The following is a 16,540-nucleotide window of genomic DNA, read 5'->3' as shown; positions in this document are numbered from 1 at the left end:
GTGAGAGGAATGGTTGCCTTGCAGCCAGCCTGCAAGTTCCTACACCATGAGAGCCTCCAAGCATTGGAATGCCCGTGTATAAAACAGAGAGTGGCTGCTTTGCATTTGCCTTTTTAAAAAAATAAAATAAAACTTAGTGCTTTATTTTTAATGCTCATCCGTATACTTTATCTCAGATTTTCATAGCTGATTTGGGAGGGTGGCATGGCAGGTGGCAGGTAGGAGAAAGCGCCCAGGTTTTCAGGGGGACGCTACTATCCAGGCCGGCTGAGTGAGCTGGAGCAAGTCCCTGCATTTCCGTGAGCCAGGTTTGAGGTGCATGTGGGTGATCACCCCCTGCAATGCGGGGGATGCAGGGCCCCCAGGAGGATTAAGGGAGAGGATTCTTGGGAGAGTTGTGCATGCGGGAGTCCCAGAGCCTCCTTGATTCCAGTTGCATTAAGTCTGTTTATAAGAGAAAGTGATCGCATTCCTCAAGACAGAGCCTACGGGAGACAGAGGAGTTGACTGAAGGCAGGAAGTTTTGGAAAACTCCTGGAAAAGCACTTGAAGTAGGAGGAGGCTGATTTTAAGGTAAAATGGTTTGTGAATGATCCGCCTGGAAGCAGTAAGGCCTAATGACTGTGTTGGGGGAGCATGCTCCTCTCATTCCTATGGGTTGTGTCAAACTTTTGGCTTCTTTGTCCCTAGGGCAGGACACAGCATTACTAGTTAGCCAGAACCCTGGCCTAAGAAGCCACCCAAAGCACTGTTACCAGGAGCAGAGACACACAGGGGAGGTGGGGGGCAGCATAAGATGGTCGGGGTGCCCAGCATCATAAGCCACCTGGAGGGAGCCCTTCCTATGTGGCCTGGCTGGCCAGCAGGGATGGGATTTGTGTCAAAGTTCAAGGCACCTGCAGTGGACGCTATTGTGGTTCCCACCTGGGACAACTGTTAGAGAGGGCTCTGGAGTTGAGGTGTTTTCTACAGAGTCAGGGGAATCCCTGCAGGGAAACCACTGGCCAAGGACACAGAACTCCTGGGCCCTGGCCCTGGCCCTGGCCCATCTGCTCCGGGCCGGGGACCTTGGGCACGTTGTTTAACCTCTTTGACCCTTCGTTTCCTCACCTGGGAGATGGTAGTATAAATTCCCACTCCCTCTGTTACAGGAGAGTTAGGAGGACCCCACAAAATGAAGCACAGGAACCTGCCTTATTGATAAGAATTTTAGTAGCATCTACTTTTTATAGTTTAATGTACACCCAGTAGTGCCAAGTATTTTGAACATCTTATCATTCTGGGGTTCAGCAGGAAGCATTGAATGGAGGGTCTGAATAAAGATGTGCTTCCAGAGATGGTGCCCACATTCAGAGAAGTCAGCAGGGGATGCTGTAGCACCTGGGCCCATTTACCACCCCCAGAAGAAGTGGCACGGTAGGGGAAGGGCTAGGGGAACCAGGAGAGCATCGCAATAGTTGCCAGAAGCCTCTGGAAGAGAGAGACCACAAGGCCCCCTCCTCAACTTGGCAGGAGAGGAGCCAGGCGGATCAACCCTGCAACCTTGCTCTCCTCTGTCCTGCCCTCTGCAACTCTGTGGCACCAAGAGCTGAGCCCACCCAGCAGCCAAAGGCAGGGAGCTCCCTGATGGAGCCCCCCAGGGCAGGACAAGGTGGAGGTGGATTAGGAGCAGGCCTGGAGGAGACACACACACACACACACACACACACACACACACACACACACAGGCACACAGAGCTGTTATCTCATTTGAATCTGCAACAGCTGGGGGTGGGGAGGAGTAGTCACAAGATTACCAGTTGGCAGGTAAGATGCCCAGGAACTGGAGGGTAACCCCCTTGCCTAAGGCCACACAGCTGGTGGGAGCCCACATTTTAACCCATTGTGTCTTATCAGCCCTAGTAAAGTAAGAAGATCCATTGTAAGACATTATGAAGACCTTCAATTGTTATCAGTAGCATCTTAATGAGAAGCAGAATAGTTTAAGTGTTAAGGTTTGCCTGGGTTTCAATTGGAGGTTTATTACTTAGTGATCAAATTACTGACCTTTTCTATGTCTCAGCTTCCTCTTCTATCATGAAGGCACACTTTGTACAGTTGATGTGAAAACTAAACAAGTTTATTCAGTAAAGGTCTCTCAACAAATGTTAGTTTTGATTCCTGAGAAGGTCAAGATTTAGACAGGGCGGTGTGGGTGTGAGTGGTACTTCAACATGGCCTTTTAACCTATTCAGCATTCAAATAATATGGTTTGAATATTTGTAGGTTAAAAGTTTCTTTCTTCCAGTTATTCTGACGATGTTTGTTTCATTTCTTCTGACTCTGTGTGTGTGTGTGTGTGTGTGTGTGTGTGTGTGTATTTTCTCTTTAAAACACATGAAAGTGCCAAAGGAGAGAATGACAAGAAATTTAAAGACCTAAATTGGCTTTATTGTGATTCTAGAATTGAGCAACACTTCGTTCCACAAAACAAACAGAATAGGTTTTCCAGTGAGCTGAGCAGAGGAGGTTGGCTTTATAAACAGGACTGAAGAAACCAGAAGCAACAAAGTGTGTACTCATTACATTTAGAGAGAACACTAGAAAAATAACTGATTAGTTAACATCCGGTTACTTTAGGCTGCCTTTTTTTGTGCTAAGGATTAAAGCCGAGAGAACTTCATGATCATACCAGTTGACAATTTAATCCTGCTTATTTGAGAAATTGACTCTCTCTTGATTTCTCAGGAAGTCAGATGACAACTTAGTTTTGTCGATGGCTGTTGTAAAACCTCGGTTCTTGTCTCCTTAGTTTAAAAGAAATTAAACAAGAGACACACAGCAAAGGAGATGCAGCATGGAGCGATTTGTTGCAAAAGAGGCAGGATATTCTGAAAGTGACGTGCAGAATAGACAGTACACTCTGAGACAGGATTCAGGGCGGGCTGCTCGTGAGGATGGGACAGCATTGACTTACTGGGGAGACTCCCTTGATGACAGCCTTACACGGTTATTCATAAGGAGGCAGGAAGAGGCGCTAGCAGTAAGCATGTTCTGGGTGGTCTTCGGGGTGCACATGTGCAGCAGCTGTACCTGCTTGCTTGTATGTTACATGTCTCATTAACATCTGAAATCTCCACCCGGGAGTGTGTTTTTTACTATTATAATGAGCAAAGGTTCAGTCTGAGGACAGGTAAAATCAAAATGTGCACCCTCTTACGGGGGAAATTCCTTACTGGAGCTAGTTTGGCTTGAGTGAACTGGACTACAGTGTGAATGCTGGCGCTTATCGTGTTGACCCTGTGGTCGCCATGCCACGGTTGCCACATCTCGAGGACATGGCTCCCTTTTTGACTACCTATCCCGCCTCAGTTTGGATTTGGGGACCTGGAACTTTAGCGTGGGTAACTCCATTTTGATTCTCAGCCGGCCCTGTTGGGGCCTAGTGCGGAAACTTAGTCCAAAACAATGGCCTTCTATAATTTTTATTAAACAAATCCTATGTAATCATGTATGATTCTAAAGCCCTTAATGGAGTATAAAATATGACTTAAAAATTACTTGCAATAATTCAGAAAAGTTGAGAAGAAAAGAACATTAGCTCCAAATTATTTGGCAGAATTAAAAAGAGGGTTACAAGTGACTTTTGGAAAGTACACATTGGGGTGTACAAATAAAGTACTTTCTCTGAATTTCATTAGCTACATTAAAAAAAGAAAAGATCAAATGCAATAGATAGCACTGTAATAGATTTTGCTACATTAAAAAAAATCCATTTGAATACACAGTGAACTAAAACACCAGAGTGGCTAAAAAGTCCCTTCATGCATATTTACTTAGCAGAGAGCTCTTGAGAAAGACCCAACCAATAAACCCCAACCAAAGCAAATCCAGCTACTTCTCTAGCTGAGAGGGTGGAATGACTCCAAAATATTGTTTCAAGCTCAAAAAGCCTAAAACAACTCCACATAAAAAAACAAAAATCTATCTAATTGGACATTTACCTTTTTGGAAATAAAAGGCCCAGTGGGAAAAAAAAAAAAAAAAAGAAAGAAAGGAAGGAAGGAAGGAAGGAAGGAAGGAAGGAAGGAAGGAAGGAAGGAAAGAAAGAAAGAAAGAAACCCTTTTCTTAGATCCTTAGAAGACTCGACTGGAGCCCAAAATAAATCCCCTGAATTGGCCAAGTATTAAAGGACTCTATTCTCCTTCCCTGCCTTTAGTGTGCTGGAGCCCTAACAAGGGCAAAGAACTGCCAGTGGTCAAGAGCTCAAACACCCGGAACAACCCAGCGACATTCACAGACACCAGCAACTACAGCCCTGACCCGAGTTGGCCCTCAGTTCAACTCTTCTGACGGTCCTCCTGATTTTGCAGATAAAGATGTGGATTCAGGCCAGGCCCTGTGGCTCATACCTGTAATCCCAGCACTTTGGGAGGCTGAGGTGGCCAGATCACGAGATCAAGAGATCGAGACCATCCTGGCCAACATGGCGAAACCCCATCTCTACTAAAAATACAAAAATTATCTGGACATGATGGTGTGTGCCTGTAGTCCCAGCTACTCGGGAGGCTGAGGTAGGAGAATCACTTGAACCCAGGAGGCGGAGGTTGCAGTGAGCTGAGATCCTGCCACTGCACTCCAGCCTGGTGACAGAATGAGACTCTGTCTCAAAAAAAAAAAAAAAAAAAGATGTGGATTCACAGGGGAGAAGTGACTTACTGGCCAAGGTCACATGGGCCTCTGCCTCCAGATCTTCTGTGTGTCTGAAATTATCATTTCTACTTGGTAGGTCTCTCTTTTTTTTTATTTTTATTTTTGGAGACAGGGTCTTGCTCTGTTGCCTGGGCTGGAGTGCAGTATATGATCTTGGCTCACTGCAACTTCTGCCTGCTGAGCTCCCACCTCAGCCTCCTGAGTAGCTGGGACTACAGGTATACGCCATTGTGGATCACTCTTGGTGAAGGGATAAGCCCAGACCTTCACCAACCTTGCAGTTCTATCACAGTCGTCCTTAGTTTATTCCTTTAGAGTCCCCATCAATCACCCTTCCCACTCTGAACTGTAGAGAGGTACACAGCACAGTGAGTTGACTTGATCAACATCTGGTCGAGTGTCTGGGAAATGGCAGATCTAGGCCTTGAGCCCTGGTAGAGCTACCTCGCTTCATTCCCAGCACCCCAGTACCTTACTGCCTCCACCTCACCCCCGTGCTCCCTCCTTGGCTGAGCGTGAGAACAGTGGCAAAAAAAACAACATAAATCTAAGTCTCTACATCCTCATTAGATCCTAGAGTCAGCTGATGGTGCCCAAATTATCATCACAACAATATAACGTAACATAACATAACACAACCACCACGACCACCATTTACAGTTCATGTGAAATAGGAGTGAACCGGAACCACAAGCTGACTTGGCCAAGAACCAGCTTTAGCATTAGGATGTCAGAGAGCTCAGCTGCCACCTGTGAGACTGAGGGGAGGCAGTGGAGGGTTCTGATGGTGAGACCCAGGTATGTGTGTCTCAGTGGAACCTCCAGAAAGCTCAAGGAATTCATGGCACTCGGAGACATGTAGTTGGGTGGTTTGCCCATTGTTTAGTTATTGTGCATGTAAATCCTTTTCTTGCAGAGGTGGAAATCAGCTTCTAAGGAGATGGAGTCAAAGTCAAGCAACAGAGGCCAGAGGGGAGGAAAATCTTGCAGACGGTTTGGGAACAGGGGATCTTGCTTGAAATTTTTTGGGGCAAACTGATTAACTGGCAGCAAGCAAAAAAAAAAAAAAAAAAAAAGATGGCTCTGGGCAAACCTTGAGTAAGGCTTCACAGAAAATAATTTCAGTTGATTGCATTTTCTAGAAAACTTTAAGAGTTTAACTGTGCACTCTACGTGACAGGCTGTCTGCCCTCCACCTGGGCTGGGCTGCATTGCCTACTTCCCCTCATTAGAATTTCTCATTCGTTTACTATGGGAGCCTAGTCTTTACAGTGACTCTCTGTAAAGTGTATGTTTCCACTTTTTTCTTAATCCCATTTTATAGATGTGGAAACCAAGGTTCAGAGAGGTTAAGTCACTTAACCGAGGTCACTTAGCTCGAAAGTGGCAGAACCAGGATTTATAAGTGCACCATTTCTGTCTGAAGCCTGAGACCTCAGGCCCCATGCAACGTAATTCCCAAGTCATCCTATATCCCTGGCTAAGTGGGGACTCTGGAAGGGAAGGGCAGCTTCTCTAAGGTTCAGATAGGAAACTAGTCACACCAGGTGCCTGGCCCCCAGCCCAGCCCACGAGACGTGCTGTGACCACCTGGGCCCTCTGGTGACCATGAACCCATGCTCTGTAACATCCTTTTGGGCAGGAGTTCCTGACTTTTCTCCACCTGGTGCTTTCCAGGTCTCACACCAGCAGCTTCATTCTCCCAAAGCCTGGGGCTCTGAGTCTTCTCCCCGATTCACCATCACTGGGTGAGTCCGTGGGTTTATTTAGCCTGTTACATTCTGGCTTTATTTTCTTCTAAGCTGCTAAATTCATCATAATTTATTACACAGCAATAGATAATACACACGAAATGCAAATACTTTTTCTGTTATAAGTTGTCATGCTGATGGAAGTGATGGTATTTCAGTGTGTTTTTTTTTTTAGTAAAACTGACACATAGTAATTGTACATATTTATGGGGTACGTAGTGAGTTTTCATACATGCAATGTAGAGTGATCAAATCAGGGTAATTTGCATATCTGTCACCTCAAACATTCATCATTTGTGTTGGGAACATTCAAAATCCTCTCTTCTAGCTATTTGAAAATATGAAAATATATTATAAATCCTTGTTTACTATAGCCACCCTGCAGTGCCACAGAACACTAGAACCTATTCCTCCTATCTGTAATTTTGTTTCCTTTAACTGCTCCACATCCGTCCCTGCATGGCTGCTTGCAAGAACTCATCTTTGTGGCTTGTTGTTATAAATTGAATTCGAAGAGCCCCAAGGTGCCTGGGGATTGAGGGAGGCGGTGAGCCACTTTGAGCCTGCCGGGGGGTTTGGAGAAAGGACTGAGCAGGAAGGCTGAGTGCAAAGTTTGCAATCAGGCGTGTAAACTTAGCCAGCTCCCTAGCTAGATGGGAGCCTCTTGGAGGCAACCTGCTTCACGTAAAAGGAATCGTCAGCGTCGCTGTTGCAACCTTGGAAAATTCCCTTTTAATAACATCTTCACAATGGAGAGAAAGGTTTGTTGTTCTTCTTCTTACTTGAAAACACTGTTAATCCTACCACCTGGTGGAGAGTTTGATGAATAAAGACCGTTGCTCAGGAAACATGTTAGCTGCCACGAATAGGAATGTCTTTGTGAGGTGTATTACTGGTTGTTTCTAAAACATAATCTTATGTTTTAAAATTCAGTCTTTTGGCAAAAAAAGGAAATTAAAATGAAAGGGAGAGATTAGGCAGACAGTACCATCGTTCTTTCTTTCACCACCTGATAGAAGCTTCAAATGGAAAACACACCTTTCAGAATGGGTTGAAGAACTGGTTCCAACCTAAGGTCTGCTGCTATTTTCTGTTTCTCCCTGCGACCTGGAACAAACTGAGCTCAGCAAACATGATCCTTGGACCACAGTAAGTCCTCATTTAATGACATCGATAGGTCCTTGGAAATTGTGAGTTTAAGGGAAACGACATAAAAAACTGATTTCACCATAGGGTAACTGATATAAACAAGAGTTAAGTATCTCTGATGTATTTCTGTTCATAAAAATATCACCAAACTTCTAAATGAAGGCCCCAAACAGCATCGCAGGTGGCCACAGCCTGTCCCAGTGGCTTAGGACGTGCACACATGCACACACACACACACACACACACACAAAACCACACTCTATCGCCCTGGGACCACATAAACACAGCAGTTCACCTGATATGCACAGCTTTTTGGGGTGTGGGAAACTGGAGTGCCTGGAGAAGACCCACGAGGACATGAGGAAAACTTGCAAACTCCACACACACAGTGGTCCCGGCCGGGAATCCGTATTCTTCTCATCAATGTTATAATGAAATGCTGTTGAATGAAACAGCATTATTGGAAGACCTGCGGCATAGGATTTTATACATTAAACTGACATTTATGCAATGTCAGAAATCCAAACAAGGAGAAAAAAATATACTGGCTGTGGAGACAGTTTTGAATATCAGAATACTTCTGCATTGTCAGGAACCTGCCCCGGATGGAGTAAAGGAGGTTTTCTCTTTTTCTCTGAGCCATGGTGTCATAAACTTTAGTCACCATTACTTGCGGGAGGACGGGGGCATGGTATGTTGGTTGAATAATTAGTTACAGAGGTTGCACACTTAAATAGTGTCAAAGAATTATAAAATCTTAGCATTTGCAAAGAGCCTTTGCAGTAACCTTGTTCAACCTTCTTCTATCTACTGAGTCTTTCATTGATTCCTTGATTTACTCATAAAAGTATTAGCTCTGCCACTGCCTAACTGCGTGTCCTTCAGCAAGTTGCTGAACCTCTCTGTACTTCCCTTTCCTCATCCATAAAATCTGGATAACAATGGTACCTACCTCCCAGGAGGTAATAAATAAGCATTCAATGAGTTAACACTTGGACCGTGCTCAGAAGAGTCCTTGTTAAAGATATGCTGTGGCAACACATCATCATCAATTACATTCTTGTTCCGCCTCCTTGAGCTGCATTTTTCACTACCTGTGGTAGGGAGCTCTGTGCCCCACACAGTGGTGTTTTGACCTCTGGGCAGCTTTGCGGTTTAGAAGGCTCTTTCTCATTCAAAGCTTCCAACCAGAGAGCGCTTCCTGGAGCAGATGGCAGAATGGTGCTCTTAGGAGCTATCTGAATTTAAGGATGGGAAAGTTGTCTGGGCTGTGAAGCTAGGGTATCATCACTGGACATCAGAGGCACAAGAGACATACCTAAGATTTTAGCCATGAGGGGGACCTCAAGACACTGGCCTCTTTTTTTTTTTTTTTTTTTTGAGACGGAGTCTCACTCTGTTGCCCAGGCTGGAGTGCAGTGGCATGATCTCAGCTCACTGCAACCTCCGCCTCCCAGATTCAAGCAATTCTCCTGCCTCAGCCTCCTGAGCTCACTGCAACCTCCACCTTCTGGATTCAAGCAATTCTTCCGCCTCAGCCTCCTAAGTAGCTGGGATTACAGGCACGCGCCACCACGCCTGGCTAATTTTTGTATTTTTAGTAGAGACAGGGTTTCACCATGTTGGTCAGGCTAGTCTCAAACTCTTGACCTCATGATCTGCCTGCCTTGGCCTCCCAAAGTGCTGGGATTACAGGTGTGAGTCAGACCACGGCCTCTTTATTTTACAGCCGAGAGGACAGCACAGACAGGGCCTGGCTGGTGCGACAGCTCAACCCATCATCAGGCAGAACCTGGATAGGAGGCCAGCCCGTGGGGTGATACTGCCAAGGCCTGCATTACCACTCAGTTATCCTCTCATCTTGGGCTGCTCAGGGTGCCCTAGAGAACATGCCTTCTGTGCCCTCCTGCACTAGAGCAGGCAGGAAGAGCAGCCTGGACCATGGGTACCACATATCCTATGAGGACCCCATTGTGCCACGCGTTGGTTGACTGGATGACTTCCACTGTGTTTACACTGCACAGTCTCCTCACTTCCTTTAGACCTCCCGGTGAGCAAGCTTGTATTGTCTTTTGTGAATTCTGGCATCTGCCTCCCCTCTTTTTCTTCCTGAGGTTCTGCCCAGGAAATACCACATACTGGTCATTCTAGGCCCATTCACTGTCTAATCAGGCTTTGAGCTTGCTAGTGCTATCAGTGTTTTACAGCTGAGAAGGCTGGCTCGCTGAGGTTGGCCATTGCCTGAAGGTCTCCCAGGTTGGGAGGGTCAGGTTGGGGGGTTGTCACATACCCCTTTCCACCATGTCACAATGTTTCCTTCTAACACATGCATGCACATCATAAAAGGCTCGAGACCCAGTATATCTGGTCTCCCTGCCTGCATTAATAGCACCGCTGCCAACCTCCCTCCCACTTCCCTCCACTTAGTTTTATCATCTAAGAGGCCAAAAGAACAAAATGTCCCCCCTCCACCACACCATATTTCAAAGGGCTATAAATAGGACTGTTAGTGGTGGCATTCTGGGTCACATTTGCCAGGGACAGACTTTATATGATGTCAGCCGTGTCCTTGGGTGCAAGGTTTCCATGGCTAATAGTTTTCTTTCTCCCTTCTCTTCCTTCCCATTTTCGTTCCTTCTTTTTCTCCCTCCCTTTCTTCTTTCGTTTCTTCATCCTAAAAATCTTGTTCGAAAGTACATAGTTATGCAGCCTTCATTAGCTGAGGTTGCTTAGAAGACAAACAGGTCCATGTTTCACAATTCCTCCCAGATCTGAGAAAGGAACGTGACTCTGAGCGGACAGAACAATATATGCTGGGCCCAGAGGACAGCTGTACAGCCTGCCAGCATCTCACTCCTCTGAAAGCAAATTCAGTCCATCCAAGAGCAAGGCCAAGGGGTTGTCTCCTGTCCAGGAGGCCAAGGCCAGGGGGAGAAGACAGGCTCTGGAGTCACCAGGCCTGCTGTTGATCAGTGGTGAGATCTGGGGCAAGTGACTTCCACGTCCGAGCTTAGTGTTACCCCTTGTGCTCTGGGGGTGACACCAACTCATCTTCCTGGGTGAGAGTGGAGATTCAAAAAGAAAAAACAAGCTGGGCATGGTGGCTCATGCCTGCAATCCTAGCACTTTGGGAGGCCGAGATGGGTGGATTGCCTGAGCTCAGGAGTTCGAGATCAGCCTGGGCAACATGATGAAACCCCGTCTCTACTAAAATACAAAAAAAATCAGCCAGGCGTGGTGGCAGGTGCCTGTAATCCCAGCTACGCGGGAGGCTGAGGCACGAGAATTGCTTGAACTTGGGAGGCGGAGGTTGCAGTGAGCCGAGACCGTGCCACTCCACTCCAGCCTGGGCACCAAAGTGAAATTCTGTCTCAAAACAAAACAAAGCAAAACAAAACAAACAAACAACAACAACAACAAAAAAAATGGGTAGGTTGGGAACAGCCCCAGAGAAGAGATGGCCTTCAAGCTGGGACTGGAAAGATGGTGAGCCGTTCCAACAGCAGCAGTGAGGGGTGGAGAGGGCACCCCATGGAGGAATCCACTGCCCAAGCCAGGCACCCGCCGACTCCTGTGATTGGAGGGAAGAGGTGGAAAAAAAGGAAACAGGGAGGTCCCAATCAGGTGGGTCCTAAATGGCTTGATCCTTTCGGTAATGAGGTGCAAGCAAGGTTTCTTTTCCTTCCTGCAGAATGGGATTTCATCAGACTCCCCCTCCTTTCTTTTTTTTTAGGAAAACCATGTGGCCCAGGTTCACAGTGGATGGGAGGGCAGGACGAATGTCCCATCAATGGTGCGGGTGGGAGTCACTGTGAGCCACATTTGGAGTGTTTGCTCCAATGTGAGAATTGGTGACTTTATCTCTGGGGTTTGAGAACAGATTGCACTACGGTGCTGAGAAACGACACATGGAAAGTGACTTGGAGATTACGAGCCTGGTGGCTGAGAGGACTGGGGAGCCAGGGATGACAACGGCAGGGGGAGCAACAGAAATCCACACCAGGGAAGCGTGCTGTTCCTCCCATTACAGACCCATTGGATCTGAGATGAGGAAGATGAACTAAAGCCCGGCCAGGCTGAGACGGGTGAAGAAAAAGCAAAGGCAGAGGAGTGAAGCTCAGTTCAATTCTGGAAAGGCTGAGCAGTCCCCCGCGGGGGTGGCCTGCTTCCTCCCCAGGCCGCACAGACACCAGCCGGGAAATCCCTTCCCATTCCCTTGTCTCCCCAGCCCTCAGAGTGAAGTAGAAAAACCCAAGTAGGCTGGGCGCGGTGGCTCACACCTGTAATTCCAGCACTTTGGGAGGCCGTGGCTGGCAGATCACGAGGTCAGGAGCTCGAGACCATCCTGGCCAACATGGTGAAACCCCACCTCTACTAAAAATACAAAAATATTAGCTGAGTGTGGTGATGTGTGCCTGTAATTCCAGGTGCTCAGGAGGCTGAGGCACGAGAATCGCTTGAATCCAGGAGGCGGAGGTTGCAGTGAGCCGAGATCGCGCCACTGCACTCCACCCTGGCGACAGAGCAAGACTCCGACTCAAAAAAAAAAAAAAAGAAAAGAAATAAAGAAATAAAAAAACCCCAAGTAGATGGCTGGACCAGCACTTAGGAGGAAAGCAGGTGTTCAGTTAAAGTTTCTCCAATCTGAATCAGACAGGCAGTAGCAGATGTGAAGAGGAGGAGGTGGTGGCCCAGGAGAAGGTACCCTCTCTCACTCATGCTGACCTGGTCATGGGCAGTCAGCGCAATCCTAGCCTTCTTGACATCCTTAGTCCTTTCAGAAAGGGCCCATCTCCTTTGATTCATAGTTCTCACTCTCCAGCCTTCAGCCCTTCATCTGCCTACACCCCTACATCCCACTGTCGAGTGTAGGATTTTGGAACACCATTGTCAGAGGGTCAGTGGAATGGATCCACCCCCACCGCTGCAGTGTAAACGTGGCTCATTCATGTCATTCGCTGCAAGGGAGCATAGGGTTGGGGCAGCCGGAGAGCAGCAGATGGTCATGTGCATTCAGGTGTCTTCCAGAGTAGCCTGGTGACTTTGGGCAGGTGATTGCAGACTCTGAAAAATGGGTCTAGAATTTGACTCATGCTCATGGTTGTGAAATTAACTTTTGGAAAAGTGCCTGGTACCTAGTAGGAGCTCAACAATGAGGAGCGGTCCTATTCCCTAAAGACAGAAATCCTCCACCTTTGATGAGAATCAGAAACCGCTATACAGCCCTGATTGGGTGGATCTTGTCGAAGGGTCCCAGTTCCAGGGGCTCAGTGCATGGAGTCTGCAGAAGCAATAAGGCCCCGGACACCTCCCTGTACTCTTCTCCCTTGTGTCTCTTCCTCCTGGCCCCCTTAGCACCCTGCTCACTGGATCCTTCTGGACCCTCACTGTGAGGCCTCTTAGATTGCCGCAACCTATGTTGCAAACTTTGTTCTAGGAACCTGGTATCCAGGCTGTTGGCCATCTCTAATTTAGTCCTAAGATAGATTCCCAAAGGTGGCACAGGTTGCCTGTGGACCTTTTCACTGCATGATCCTAATCACAGCTGATGTTTTCTGGTGCTCTATGCTTTACTAAGTGCCCTCAAATGATGATAACAGAAAGATACTCGCTACCACTTCTCAACAAGCATACCAGGCAGTGTTCTGAGCTCCTGTGTACATTTTCTAATTCATTCTCATAACCCTATGAGGTCAGGGACTTTTATTATCCCCATCACCAAAAGAGGAGACACAGGTACTGAGTGATGAGATAACTTGTCCAAGACCCTGGTCAGTTGATGGCATAGCCATTGGCCAAGTCATTATTGTGTTTGTCCCTTTTGAACAGCAGGTAAAGTGAGGCTTTTCCTCATCTGTCTTCTTCATGACCATCATCATCAGCATTTCCACATTACAGATGAGGAAACTGAGGCTTCCAGAGGCACACGGGCAAGGCTGGTGAAACAGGAGCTGGGATCTAGGGGTTTGGATGCTGGGGTACAGGAACTCATCCTGGGGTTGAAGGTGGAGAGAGCTGGAAGTTGATTGTCTCAGTTCTGCTTACGTTCTGGCCACAATGAATCTGCTCATGGCCCATGTGGTACTAAGAGCTGTTAACAGCAAAGCAGAGTGGAGCAGGGAGGGCTTTTTATGCAAACAGTGGGGTGCACAGGGGGTTGGATAGTGTGTGCCTCAAGGTCATGTCAGCCCTGGCGCCGTCTCTACATTTGAACTCAGTATCCCTTTGAGCACAAAGGGATATTGTGTTGAAGACAGACCTGACTTTGAGTCTCATCTCTGCCAATTTCTAGCTGTGTGGCCCTGGGCAAATTATACTCTTTCAGAATCTTAATTTCCACATCTGTGAAATGGGAGTAAAACTACCAGCCCCAGAGGACTGCTGTGAAGCTGGAATGAAATCATGCACATGAGATGCTTTGCGTGCTGTTGGCCTCATTGTCTGTACTTAACCTATGGTTGCTATTGTTGATGATAATAGCTCTTCCAGCGAAGCAGCCAGACCTCAGTGGTTAGCCTTCAAATTCAGAAAGGCACTTCATTATGAGAGATCCCATGTGTTGAGCCCATTTCAGAGAGAGAGGTTATAAGTGAGAACAGCTTTCCTAGTCTAACAGGTGCATGTGCTTCCTGCCCAAAGTTCTTCTCACTTTTACTTTCAGATCAGCCAAGTTGGCCTCTGGAGTCCCTGGGTCTCCACAGAGGGAGATGCCACCGCACCCAAAGGGGACCCACTCTCTGAGCTTCCCTGCTCAGTTTGCTCAAACGCTGGCATGAACCATGTCATTCCTGGTTCACACACCCAGAATTTCTGCCCATAAACCTGGTTCTCGACATGCAGCCCAGCCAACGGCTCTGCTGAGGGCCTTCCAGCACTCACACCAGATGTTTCTAGGTCCTCTCACCATTCCTCACTCAGCTTCTGTGTCTGCTCTTGCACTTTCCTACTTCCGGGGCAACTTGTCCCATTTGCGAACTGATCTGGCTAGACTGTCTCAGTCTTGATCTCCTTCTCCGTCAGTGTCATGTCCCGGATGGGAATCTAGATTAAGAAACCACCTACTTGCACATTCATGAGCCTGCCCTGGACACAGAGTGGTGTGGTTCCTTGCTGATGGACCTGTGTTCTCTCTCCCCCTGCAGTGGGCTTTTCTAGGGCAGAGCTCAAAAGTGTACTGTTGTCCCCAGCAGGGCAGAACACAGTGCTTGGCCCAGCCCAGTGCAAGGCTCAGTAAATACTGATGGCAAGTAAACTGTGTTAGTCCCAGACTTTACAATAGAGTAGAGTTAGGAATTAGTTAATCATTCAGGCTCCAGCCTTTATCAGTCATATGACCTTGAGCAAATTACTTAATCTCCTCAAGCCTCCATTTACTCACCTTCAAAATGATGAAAATCATAGTATACACATCCAAGGACCATTGTGAAGATTAACTGAGCTTTTGAGTATAAAGGGCTTAGTTTAGCAAGTACCTGTAAGTACTTAAAAAATGTTATCTGTTATGCTAGTTTAAGTGTTATCTGTTATTGCTACTACCAGTATCAAAGTGATTTCATGTTGTTTTGTATTCACTTACTTCTTATCAGAGCCCTGCAAAGTAGTTGAAGCAGAGACAGTTCCATTTTACCAATGAGTAAAGTAAAACTCAGAGAAAGGCTTGCTCGCTCTTTCTTTCTTTCTTTCTTTCTTTCTTTCTTTCTTTCTTTCTTTCTTTCTTTCTTTCTTTCTTTCTTTCTTTCTTTCCTTCTCTTTCTTTCTCTTTCTTTCTTTCTGTCTTTCTGTCTCTTTCTTTCTCTTTCTTTCTTTCTCTCTCTCTCTCTTTCTTTTCCTCACTCTGTTGCCAGGCTGGAGTGCAGTGGTGTGATCTCAGCTCACTGCAACCTCTGCCTCCTGGGTTCAAGTGATTCTCCTGCCTCAGCCTCCTCAGTAGCTGGGACTACAGGTGCACACCATCACACCTAGCTAATTTTTGTATTTTTAGTAGAGACGGGGCTTCACCATGTTGGCCAGGATAATCTTGATCTCTTGACCTCGTGATCCACCTGCCTCGGTCTCCCAAAGTGTTGGGATTACAGATGTGAGTCACCAAAAGGCTGTTTTTCTAATATCACACAGCTTGACTTGACCAGTGTCCCCTAGGGGCACACCTAGAAGCAGGCCACACTTTTTGGATGGAACATGTCATGCCCACAGGCCTCAGAAAAGATCCCTATAATTTAAAAATGCAGCAATAGTATTCAGCCAGACCCAGTGGTAACAGTTATCCAGATGATTGTTTGCATGGAGAGGAAAAGCTATGATTTATTAAGCAAACTTGCCCTGCTCCTCCAGGAGTGGTATCCAGCTTTACTTCTAGTTTGCTGCTATACTTCAAGAAGACACAAAATTGGAGAATACACTCTCTTATGAGAGTTATTGTATTATATTGTACAGTAGAAAGGAGCCTCAGGTGGCATGAGGGGGCTGTGGATGGTGGAAGCGTGAATATGGGCCAAGAAATAATGATTTATGGGTTCAGAACAGGAGGAATGAGAACATAACCATGATTTGTTTGAGTGGAATTTGTCCTAATCTGTGCTCTAGCTGGAGAAGGTAGACATTTTTCTTGCTTCCGAGTCTCTTGGTTTAAGCCCAGCAGTTCCCTGCTTGGCTCCTAGATTGGTGCTAGTGGCTACCAGTTGGATGGATGGAAATGAAAGGGATGAATGGGCTGGAACAGGATGATAGTAATTCGCCTGGTATTAGGAAGAACACTGAACCCCGGGTCTAAGGCCCTCTGCCCACTGTCCAGCTGCACAGCTCTCCAGCTGTGTCATGGAGGAGCCACTTCTCTGGGCCTTGGTTTCCTCATTTGTGGTCTTGGAGAGTCACATGAGCTTTTCTGAACCTCTCCAAAAATGGGGACACTTTCTGATTTGTCTTTCTTGTATGGCTCGTGTGTATGAAC

At 46.8% G+C, this 16,540-nt stretch overlaps 1 protein-coding gene across 6 annotated transcripts in view, besides 1 other annotated feature; it reads left to right on the top strand.

Moving 5' to 3' along the window:
* The window catches only part of ST3GAL1 (ST3 beta-galactoside alpha-2,3-sialyltransferase 1), a 117,040-nt gene that overhangs the window by 5,010 nt on the left and 95,490 nt on the right, over positions 1-16,540 (top strand). The gene's annotated exons all lie outside the window — the stretch shown is intronic.
* Positions 14,295-14,404: an enhancer, noted in NCBI's record as "active region_28004". NCBI's record gives its function as "activates an Ori minimal core promoter by ATAC-STARR-seq in GM12878 lymphoblastoid cells {active_cell/tissue: GM12878}" and the evidence as "EXISTENCE:reporter gene assay evidence [ECO:0000049][PMID:35858748]".

This window comes from Homo sapiens, chromosome 8 (assembly GCF_000001405.40).
Source record: "Homo sapiens chromosome 8, GRCh38.p14 Primary Assembly".
NCBI classification, from domain to species: Eukaryota; Metazoa; Chordata; class Mammalia; order Primates; family Hominidae; genus Homo; species Homo sapiens.
Note: the sequence above shows the minus strand (reverse complement) of the source record. Positions and strands in the feature narration are given on the sequence as shown.